Source organism: Homo sapiens, chromosome 9, assembly GCF_000001405.40.
Source record: "Homo sapiens chromosome 9, GRCh38.p14 Primary Assembly".
NCBI classification, from domain to species: domain Eukaryota; kingdom Metazoa; phylum Chordata; class Mammalia; order Primates; family Hominidae; genus Homo; species Homo sapiens.
The window spans coordinates 122683205-122695963 of NC_000009.12; the positions used below are offsets into that span (position 1 = coordinate 122683205).

Here is a 12759-nt window from a genome sequence, read left to right on the forward strand (position 1 = left end):
TTTCTTGCCCATACTGCTTGCCTTAGGGGGTCCTCCCCTCTCTGGTCACAAACTGACAGCTAGCTTCATTTCGAGAGTTTAACACTGAGCTGTGCCCCACACTTGGCCCAAGTTCAAGGCAATACAGCTGCAGCTGCCACTCAGCTGGGAGAGAGACAGGGGAGGCAAAGCTCTCCTAAGCACACTAAGGGTAATACCCATCACCCTGCTACAGTGGCTCTGGGACTGGGGACTAGCCTGCTCAACCCATCACAGCTATCAAGAACACCAATATGGACCACTCGGGTCCCTGTGGTTTGCTCCACCACTGATACTGCCATCACCCACATTACACCAGCTGTCACAGGATATGAGAACCCACCCACACACCTGGCCTACCAATCCCACTACTAGCTTCTAGTCAAGCCACTTGGGGCCCAAGAACCAGCCCTCCAGGACACTTTAACACCAAAGTCACTGTAAGTTGCTCTGGGCTTAAAAACAGGCACATTAAACCCACTGCTGCCACCACAGGGACCTGGAGACTGGCTCAGTCAGTGTCCAAGTCCCCAGCAAAATCTTGCCACAACCTCAGCTAATAACTGTACCCTAAGCCACTGAGGAAATCACGGATACCACTGACTCTGTATACTGCTAAAGAGTTCATGCAAAGATCACACTATTGCAGGCACCCATAATCCTAGCCAAAGTATCCTTCTCAACCAACAACATACACATATCTTCAGGAAAGAAATTCCCTTACCAAAGCAATTTCAAAAAAAAATTGGAACCAGCAACTGCTTCACCAGATGCTCAGATATCAAAAGGACACAAAAAACATGAAAAATTGGGGAAATATAACACCACCAAAGGACCACAACTGTCCTGCAACAGATCCCAATAAAAAAAATTCCTCAAAATGTCAAGTAAAAGATTCAAAATATTGATTTTTAAAGGAGCTCAATGAGATGCAAGAGAAATCTAAAAACTAATATAAAGAAGTCCAAAAATCAACTTAGGATATGACTAAAAAATTACCAAGGAGATAGATATCTTTAGGGAAAAAAAAGCAGAAATTCTGGAATGAAAAATTCATTCACTGTGGAGTGCAGTGGCTCATGCCTAGAATCCCAGCATTTGGGAAGGCCAAGGTAGGAGGATCACTTGAGGTCATGAGTTCAAGTCCAGCCTGGGCAACATAACAAGATCCCATCCCCACAAAAAAAAAAAAAAAAATACAAAAATCACCCAGGCACAGTGGTGCATGCCTGTAGTCCCAGTTACTTGGGAGGCTGAGGCTGGAGGATCACTTGAGCCCAAGAGTTCAAGGCTGCAGTGAGCTATGTTCACACCACTGCACTACAGCCTGGGCAACAGAGCAATACTGTCTCAAAACAAAAATCATTGAAGGAAATAAAACATACATTTGAAAACTTCAATAATAGACTAGAAAGCAGAAGGAAGAATCTCAGAAATAGAAGACAAGTCTTTTGAAATAATACAGTTAGACAAAAGTAAAGAAAAAGAATAAGAAAGAAGGAGCAAAGCCTTCTAGACACCTGGGACTACATAAGATGAGCAAACCTATGAATTATTGGTATTCCAAGGGGGAAGAGTGATCAAAAAGTTTAGAAAATCTATTTGAGGAAATAGCTGATGAAAATTTCCCAAGCCTAGCAAGAGAGTCTGATATCCAGATATAGGAGGCCCAGCTATCCCCAGGAAAAAACATTGCAAAAAGACTTCAACATAACATGTATTATTCAGAATGTCTAAAGTCAAAGTAAATGAAAGAATTTTAAAATTAGCAAGAGAAAAGCAGCTAGTCATCTATAAAGGAAACCTCATCAGATTAACAGCAGACTTTTCAGCAGAAACCTTATAGGTCAGAAGACAATGGGATGGCATTTTCAAAGCACTAGAAAGAAAACCTGTCAGCCAAGAATTTTATATTCTACCAGAAAAAGCTTCATAAATGCAGGAGAAATGAAGTCTTTCTCAGACAATCAAATGCTGAATAAATTTGTCACCTCTAGACTGGCTATGCAGGAAATGTTCAGAGGAGTCTTAAACATGGAAATGAAAGGTCAGTATTCATTATGATGAAAACACATGGAAGAATAAAACTAACAATTCTTATAAAATAATCACACAAAGGAGGAGGAGAAAAGAATCAAATGGCAACATGACATAATTTGTTAAAACCGTAAAGATAAAAAGAGAAAAAAAAGAAAAAAATTATAAAACGATTTGTAAAAATTAATAATATGACAGAAACAAAGCCTCACATATCAATAATAATCTTGAATGTAAATAAATGTTCCACTTAAAAGATAAAGATCGGCATAATGAATAAAATAAAATCAAGATCCAGCTATACGCTGCTAACGAGAAACTCACTTTACCCATAAAGACACACACAGACTGAAAGTAAAAGAGTGGGAAAAGATAGTTCATGCAATTGGAAATCAAAAGCAAGTACGTGTAGCTATATTTCTATTAGATAAAACAGACTTTAAATCAAAAACAGCAATAGGCCCACACTCAGACCCTAGCCCTGGTGGGTGCCCCCACCACACCTCAGCCACTGGGCTCCTTCCCTCAGCCTCTTCTCTGGTGCGCCCACCCACTCCCTTACTTCTCCCCCTTTCCCTCCTCCCCATCCGCTCTCCTTCCCTCACCTCTTTCCTCCCCACCTCCCCTCGTTTCCTCCCCCATCCCCTTGACTCTCCCCTCCCTGCCCTCACTCTCTTGCTCACCCTCAGCCAAGCCCCCACTATGATGGAGGCAGGTGCCAGTGCCATTGTCACTGCTGTCATTGCAGAGTGGGAGTCAGGTTCCCAGAAAGCAGCTTGATGAGTGTCCAAAGTAGGAGTGGAAGTTTGGAGAGGCCACCATCTTGGTCCCACCTCTCCACATCTCCAACTCCAGGCTCAGCGGCAAGCGGCAGCCAGGTCCCTGATGAAACACACACCACCATCCAGGAGGCCCAGGGAAGGTGCAATGGATGAGCTTTGTAGTCTGAATCCAAGAAGGCAAGAGTTATTGGAAGCTAGATTTATTGGAGTTGTAAGTGGGAACACTGGGAGTACCAGCAGTTGCAGTGTTGGAGCTAAAGCCTCAACAGATAATGAAAGCTCTTATCACAGTTTTGGAAGCTTAGGATCTTTAAGTGACAAAGAATCAGAGAAACGACTGGCAGGCAGCTGAAAGGACTATAACAGTGACTGGACTTTATCTGCAGTGGGTTCCCTTGAGAAGCCAGAGAAGAAACAATCAGAATCATCCAGGGGAAGATAGAGAAAAGCAGAAAACCAGAATGAAAATTGTCAGGGAAAAAGTATTGGGGGGACGTGGCCACAAAAGTAGTGACTATTTTGAATACCAGGGTGGAAATGGCTCAAGTCCAGTAAGAGGCATACCTCCTGCAATCAGTTCTCCTCAAAATTCACATTCACATTCCACTCCTTCCTCATCTCTTCGACCAAATAGCCCTTCTCCTACTGCATTAGCATTTGGGGACCACCCTATTGTACAACCAAAGAAGTTATCCTTTAAAATTATTCAGACTGATCTCACAATCCTGAAATTAGCAGCATTAGAAAGTAATAAAATCCAGGACCTGGAAAAGAAGGAAGGATGTATAGATTATTTGCTCAGGGCTAACCGTGATCTCAGATGGCAAATAGATGAACAAAAAAAATTACTTGAAAAATACAAAGAATGATTAAATAAGTGCATATAAATGAGCAAGAAACTTCTTTTGAAAAGAGTACACAAGAAAAACTGTCAGAGAGAAGAGTATGCAAGATTGATTGCGTCTCAGGCACTTTACAACAGTTAGACATGGCACTTCATTTACTGAATAATGGATAGATGGTTTTGCATTTCAGACTCTTGTGAAGCAACAAGAATGGGTGAATCAGCAAAGGGAAGATATTGAAAGGCAAAGGAAAATTCTAGCCAAATGCAAACCTCCCACAGCTAATAATTCTCAGACACCCTCTACCAATTCTGAACCAAAACAAAGGAAAAACAAAGGAGTCAATGGAGCAGAAAATGATCCCTTTGTTAGACCAAATTTACCACAACTGTTGACTTTGGCAGAATATTATGAACAGGAAGAAATGTTCAAACTTAGACAAGGACATCTCAGAAAAGAAGAGGCAGAAATCCAAGCAGAACTTGAACGTTTGGAAAGAGTCAGAAATCTTCACATACGTGAGCTGAGAAGAATAAACAATGAAGATAATTCACAATTCAAAGATCACCCAATGTTAAATGAAAGATATTTATTACTTCATCTGCTTGGTAGAGGTGGCTTTAGTGAAGTGTATAAGGCTTTTGACCTTTATGAACAAAGCTATGCTTCTGTGAAGCTACATCAACTTAATAAAAGCTGGAGAGATGAGAAAAAAGAAAACTACTACAAACATGCCTGCAGTATAGAATACACAAAGAACTGGATCACCCCAGAATAGTTAAACTCGATGATTATTTCTCCTTGGATACAGATATATTTTGTACAGTGTTAGAATACTGTGAAGGCAATGACTTGGATTTCTATCTGAAGCAACACAAGCTAATGTCAGAGAAAGAAGCTGAGTCTATTGTAATGCAGATTGTAAATGCACTAAGATATCCCAATGAGATCAACCCCCATTATACATTATGATCTTAAGCCAGGAAACATCCTTTTGGTAGACAGAACAGCATGTGGTGAAACCAAAATCACTGATTTTGGTCTGTCCAAGATTATGGATGATGATAGCTATGGTGCAGATGGAATGAATCTACCTCCTGAGTGTTTTGTAGTTGGAAAAGAGGCAGCAAAGATTTCCGATTTCCAACAAGATTAATGTGTGGTCAGTTGGAGTCATCTTCTTTCAGTGTCTTTATGGTAGAAAGCCATTTGGTCACAATCAATCTCAACAAGATATTCTTCAAGAAAATACAATATTAAAAGCCACAGATGTCCAGTTTCCTGTAAAACCAGTTGTAAGCAGTGAACCCGAGGCCTTTATAAGATGCTGCTTGGCATATCAAAAAGAAGATTGATTTGATGTGCACCAGCTGGCACATGACCCATGCCTTCTCCTACACATGCGAAGATCAAATTCTTCAGGAGACCTACAACATGACTGAGCTGACAACATCTCCTACACTGCTTTCTTCAAGCATAATTACTTACCGACTTTCCTCCAAGATTGACATGATATCTTTGAATTGCTTCCAGATGCACACTTGAGTTTAAGAGCATTTGAGTGTTTTTTTGTTTTCTTTTTTTTACACAGGACATGGTTAAAAACTGTTTGTGAGCTGAAGTTCCTCATAGTGTCATTTGTATGAGACTGGATCATGGACAATGAATAAATGCACACTTCTGACTACAACTTTGAGCAGTGAAGGGTGACTGCCCATTATAAAGAAACAGGAATACCATGTTAAGATGGAAGAAAAACATTTTTGGTCTTTTATTTGGGGGAACACTGTCAATAACATTTATAATACTTAAATACATTTGGTTGTTACCAGAGTTCTAATATGAAGGGTAGTTTTTCATCATTTAAAAACACATGGAAAAATATGAGACATATTTCTAACACACAAACTACAGTGCCTGGATACATTCTTCAGCATTTGGCAGTTAATCTGCTGAAGCCAAAGTAAGAACTGAATGAGAGTGACAGTTGGGTTTTATAGTAATAGAATGCGACAGTTAGAATCTTTGGACAAAGTTAGGCTTTGTCATTTGTCTATTCTGGCTTTTACCAAGTTGCACCTTGAAATCACATGTCCATTTTCTTTCACTTGTTATATTAAAGGGAGAGCTATTATTCCTAAATACTTTACACTTTTGACAAAATGAGCTGCTTGTTTTGAAATCAGTTGAATTCACTAAATTGTAATATTGCCAGTGTTTTCAACACGTTAGAATTGATAACAGGTATTTTTCTTTTGTTACCAGGCCTTGTGCATCAAAACAGGTGACAGTATGTACCAAATGCAGACCGGTTCTATGCAGGATAACGATAAATTCCCTTCTAGCTCTATTGTAAAGTGTTGTACAGATGTCATATTTCAATCACTAAGTTTCAGCAGCTTATTCTTGTACAAATGTTTAAAATGTGGCTTTTCTAATTGGATATTGTATTTTTAAAGTCTTCTTGAAGGTGCTCTAATTGCTGCTAAATGATGTCACTTCTTTGCTAAAAAATTAAATGAACCCCTAGAAGGTGCAAGTTGACTATACATCATTAGCAGACATTCATTAACAATCAAGACATGTAAAAATGATCCATGTTGGACATATTGAGTTCTTCAAATCAGTTATTGGGTTATAGGGCTGTGGAGCACATAGATACTAGATTTATACATTGTTCATGGTTATTCTACATTTCTAGAAAGTTCTTACCAGCAAGATGATCCCATAAATAAGTTTCTTGTAGTTTGTTCAAATTTGTTAAAATGTGAACATTTTCTAACTGCCTTGTAGGGTAGAAACCAATATTTTTCAGGATGCTGTATTTCACTCCTGTAAGGACTTTTTCTTTGCTGTCTCATTAATAATGCTGATACTTACATGTAAGTTGTTCATGTTGCAGAAAAAGGAGGTTATACTTACCATGGATTCTCTTTAATATTTAACTGTATTTAATATTTAACTGTATTTAATATTTAACTGTATTTAATTTAAATACAGTTAAACTGTATTTCTGATGTTGCAAGCCATTTTGTTTTTTCATTGTAGATAGACACATTGTCTCTTTAAAATGCTGCTGAAATTGTAGAGAATATAGCCAAAACAGTAATAAACAATGACAGCTAAAATGTAAACAAAAAAAAAAAAGCAATAAAAGACAAAGAAGGACATTATGTGATGATAAAGGGATTTATTCATTCAGCAAGAGGGTATAACAATCCTAAATATTTATGTAGACAATGTTGGAGCACTCAAATTCACAAGACAAATATTACGAGACCTAAAGAAAGAGATAGATAGCAATAAAATAATAATGGGAGACTTCAGCACCCTACTCATAGCACTAGACAGATCATCAAGACAAAAAATTAACAAAGAAACACTGGATTTAAATTGGACTTTAGACCAAATTTACTTGACATTTAAAGAACATTCTACCCAACAACTACAGAATATACATTCTTTTGATTACCATGTGGAACATTCTCCAAGATAGACCATATATTAGGCCAAAAAATAAGTCTTAGCACATTTTAAAAATGTGAAATCATATCAAGCATCTTCTCAGATTACAGTGGATAAAAGCTAGAAATCAGTACCAAGAGGAACTTTGGAAACTATACAAATACATGAAAATTAAACAGCATGCTCCTGAACAATTACCAGGTTAATAAAGAAATTAAGATAGAAATTTAAAATATTTTTGAAACAAATGAAAATCAAAACAACATACCAAAACGTGTTGGGTACAGTAAAAGTGGTGCTAAGAGGGAAGTATATAGCATTAAATGACTACAACAAAAAAGTAGAAAGATCACAAATTAACGACCTAACATTGCACCTCAAGCAACTAGAAAAACAAGAACAAACCAAACCCGAAATTAGCAGAAAAAAAGAAATAATAAAGAGCAAAGCAGAACTAAATGAAACTAAAACCAAAAAAAAGGACCAACAAAACTAAAAGCTCTTCAAAATATAAAAGAAAATTGATAGACCAATAGCAAGAAAAGAAGGTCCAAATAAACACTATCAGAAATGAAAATAGAAACATTACAATTGATATCATAGAAATGCAAAAGATCATCAGAGACTATTATGAAAAACTATACACTTACAACATAGGAAACATAGAGGAAATTGATGAATTCCTGGAAGAATACAACCTCCTGAGATGAACAAGGAAGAAATGAAACTCCTGAACAGTCCAATAATGAGTGGTGAGATTGGGTCAGTAACAAAAAACCTCCTAACAACAACAATAACAAAAAGCCCAGGATCAGGTGAATTCATAGCCAAATCCTACCAAACATACAAAGAAGAACTAATACCAGTCCTCCTGAAACTATTTCAAAAAATTGAGCCTGAAATGCTCCCTAATTCTACAAAACCAGTAACACACTGATACGAAAACCAGACAAGGACACAACGGAAACGTAAAACTACAGACCAATATCCCTGATGAACATATATACAAAAATTCTCAACAAAATACTAGCAAATCAAATCCAACAGCACATTAAAAAGATAATACACCATGATCAGGTGAGATTTATCCCAGGGATGTAACAGTAGTTCAACATATTCAAATCAATAAATGTGATACATCAACATAAACAGAAATAAAGACCAAAACCATATGATCGTCTCAATATATGCAGAAAAAGTATTCAATAAAATGTAGCAACACTTCATGATAAAAATCCTCAACAAATTAGGCATCAAAGTAACATACCTCAACATAATAAAGGCAATATACAACAAACCTACAGACAACATCAATGGGAAAAAGTTGAAATAATTCCCCTTAAGAACTGGAAGAAGACAAGGATTCCCACTTTCACTGCTCTTATTCAATATAGTACTGTAGGTCTCAGCAAAAGCAATCAGGCAAGAGAAAAAAAAAGGCATTTATATTGGAAAAGAGGTAGTCATATTTTCCCTTTTTGCTGATGATATGATTTAATCTCTAGAAAACCCTAAAGACTCCACCGAAAAACCTCTTAGATTTTATTAATGAATTCAGTCAAGTTTCAGGATATACAATTAATGTACAGAAATCAGTAGCATTTCTATATACCAATTATGATCTAGCTGAGGAACAAATAAAGAAGGCAATCCCATTTATAATAGCTACAAAAAATAAATAAAATACCTAGGAATATATTTAACCAAGGAAGTAAAACATCTATATAAGTAGAACTACAAAACACTGATGAAAGAAATCGTAGGTGATACAAACTAATGGAAAAACATTCTATGCTCATGGATTGGAAGAATCAATATTGTGAAAATGACCACACTTCCCAAAGCAATTTACAGACTCAATGCAATCTCTATCAAATTACCAACGTAATTTTTTTAATTAGGGAAAAAATCCTAAAATGTACATAGAACCAAAAAAGAGCCTGAATAACTGAAGGAATCCTAAATAAAAAGAGCAAAGTTGAAGGCATCACATTTTCTGACTTCAAATTATATTACAAAGCTATAGTGACCAAAACAGCATGGTACTGGTATAAAAATAGACACAAAGATCAATGGAGCAGAATAGAAAACCCAGAAATAAAGCCACATACAGTCAACCAACTGATCTTTGGCAAAGTTGACAACTGAGGAAAGGACACCCTATTAAATAAACGGTGCTGCAAAAATTCGATAGCCATATGCAGACAAATGAAACTGGGCCCATTATATCAAAAAGATACCTGCATTCATATGTTTATTGAAGAACTATTCACAATAGCAAGGATATGGAACCCACCTAAGTGTCCAACAGTGGAGGATTGAATAAAGAAAATATGAGATGGATAGATGGATAGACAGATAAATAGATAATGTGTATACACAAACACACACCCACATACACACACACACTATGGAGTCCTACTCAACCATAATAAAAGAATGAAATCATGTCTTCTGCAGCAACACAGATAGAACTAGAGGCCATCATCCTAAGTGAAATAACTCAGAAAGTCAAATGCCACATGTTCTTATTTATAAGTGGGAGCTAAACAATGGGTACATGTGTATATAAAGATGGAAACAATAGATACTGGGAACTTCAAAAGTGGGGATGCTGTGGGGTGCAGGTTGAAAAATTACCTATTGGGTACAATGTTCACTATTCAGATGATGGGTGCGCTAAAAGCCCAGGCTTCACCGCTGTGCAATAGTGTACATGTAAGAAATCTTCACTTGTATCCCCTAAAGATATAAAAGTTAAGAAGATAAAAATTAAAAATAAATATAACTAGTTCAGAAACATTGTAGCTTTCCAGAATTCTCTGTGTTGGGATGCAGGGCCCAAAGTCCAGATAACAATAAAATGTTACTTTGCTTCAGTTTGTCATTATTCCTTGGGCAGCATTTCTCTTAGCAATTTCATGGGAAGAAGTACCTGGATTTCAGAGTGGAATCCAAAGTTTCTTGAGTTCCCTTGCCATAATACCCTCTAATAATTTTCACCACCTACTGAACTAGGACATATTTCTTAATCACATAATTTTAACAAATTTAAAGATGTCAACCAATGTTCACTAGGTCATCTAGGTCATCACGATAAAGGAAATATAACTGCCGTGACTATTTCTCAATCCCAGGTGCCTACCCAAACACCATGGAGAGAAAGCAGAGATATTTGAGGCCAAACCTTAACCTGTGTGAGGCTCAGGTCACCAAGGACAGCCGTGACCTCCCCCAGAGTCCCTTTTTGCTCCTGTTTCCGTAGAGTTCCAAACCAGATAAGCCGATGTTCTAATCTGGAGATAAATACCTTTGCTCTCAAGGGAGAACATGTTTCTCTGACTCGACAGTGGGATGGGTATGCCTGAGTAATCTTGGTTTCTCTGTACCAGGGAACTGTGTTGGGATCAGCTGAGGCCATGGTTATTTTGAAACTGACTTAATGTGCTAAGAGGTTCCAAGCTTAATTCCCAAGTACCCATTCATTCACCAAGGAGAAGCCAAAGTTTTACCTCTGGATTCTGTTTAATGAGGCTATCAGTAGCCAACCCAAGTGGTTAATTAACATCAAAGAAAAGGAGCCTAAAGGTTAGATAGCAAGTCCTCCCCCAGAGCCTCGTTAGGAAAGCTGAGATTGGACCTGTCCCTCAGAGGCACCTTCTGCAATGACGGTGGCTCAGAAACTTTTCTGACACAGCATCATGAGTGAGGCCTCCCGACTTTTCCCTTGGGCTGCTCTCAAGGGTCCATATTCTACTTTGATTTTAGAAAGGGAATTGAACAATGAGAACACATGGACACAGGAAGGGGAACATCACACACCGGGGCCTGTTGTGGGGTGGGGGGAAGGGGGAGGGATAGCATTAGGAGATATACCTAATGCTAAATGACGAGTTAATGGGTGCAACACACCATCAAGGCACATGTATACATATGTAACTAACCTGCACATTGTGCACATGTGCCCTAAAACTTGAAGTATAATTAAAAAAAAAAAAAAAGAAAGGGGAAAGACGATGCCGTAACTAAGAGGCTTTGCCTGCCCCCATCTGAGGTCAGTCCTCCAGGGCAGCATTGGAGAGAGCTGCTGAATAACCAGTTTGAGAGAGATAGCATATTTAAACCAGTTTTAGTCAGAGCCATTTTTTCATGTGTTCTTTGAATAACATCATTTTTCAGGGATACAAATCGATTCCCCTATTCCTTTTGATCTCCTAATTTAAAACCCTGGTAATGGTGTCTACTTTATCTAAGGCAGGGATTTTCAGCCTCCTCTGGCCCATTTAGCCATCTGGGAAGCTTCACAGAAGATTCCGATGCCCAGGCCACACCCTAGACCAATTAAATCAGAATCTCTAAGGAGGCAACCCAGGTATCAGTATTTTTAAACCTCTCAGGTGATTCCAATGCGCAGCCAAGGTTGGGATTTCTTTAGAGGGTCCCTATTGGCTTGTGTAATTTGACAGCGCCAATGCTGCGAGTTTAGGGTTAAGCAAATGAATGACGTCCTTCCCTTATCTCCTGGGTCTATTTTTATCTATCATAAGTTTTGGGGGTTTTCTTTTGGCTTTTTCTTAGATTTTATGAATCAATATTTGATACTGAGAAAGGACATAAAGAAAGCACTATGTTAAAAATGATTTAATTCATTTTTTTTGGTCTTACGTGTTTCTATTTTCCTTTATTCCCCTAAGTCCACAGATAACACATGAATACAGTCTAGTTGTGAAATAATTCAAACAGAAGTTATAAAGTAAAACCTAAAAGTATCTCTTGATTCCCACCCACAAACCCATTACGTATAAAAATATCTTTATATATGCAAATATAAATATTAACAGCCTTGAAATCACACAGTATAAATATATTATTTTGCAACTTGAATTTTCATCTAATAAGATGTCTTGGAGATGGTTCCAAGTCACTAGTATCTACAGTCTACACTGTTGTCTTTAACTGGATCCTAGGATTTTAACAATATTTTATAATATGAAGCTACTATAATTTATTTAAACATTCCTTTATTATTGGACATATCAATAATTTCTCTCTCTCTGTTACAAAGCTGCTGTGAACATCTTGTATATATATCGATATATAACTATATATCTATATATATATATCTATATATATAACTATATATCGATATATATAGTTCAAATATATTCTATGCTTTATATACATACATAAAAGTAGAAGTTCCTAGATACCATAAAATTATCCTTCAGAAAAGGCATTTCTATGTCAATCTAGTGTGTGACAGCACCTGTTTCCTCAGTCAACACTCTATAGTATCAACATCTTTCATTTTTTCCAGTATACTGATCAAAAAATAATATTTCATTGTTCCTTTAATTTGCATATTATTATAAATGTTTATTGGTCATTTTTCTTTCTTCCACTGGGAAATATCTGTTTATATTTTTTCTCATTTTTCTATTGACGCATTAGCCAGACTAGACTATATATGCTGCAGTAGCAAATTAATCCTAAAATCTCAATATCTTGACACAATAAAACTTTATTTCTTGCTCACACTATGTGTCCACTGTGAGTCATCAGGGGTGCTCTATGGATAGTGACTCAGAGAAAGCCACATTGATAGAGGTCCA

At 37.2% G+C, this 12759-nt stretch overlaps 1 pseudogene; it reads left to right on the plus strand.

Moving 5' to 3' along the window:
- The first annotated feature begins 2535 nt into the window (after positions 1–2535).
- On the plus strand, positions 2536–5427 carry TLK1P1 (tousled like kinase 1 pseudogene 1; annotated as a pseudogene).
- Positions 5428–12759: the final 7332 nt, after the last annotated feature.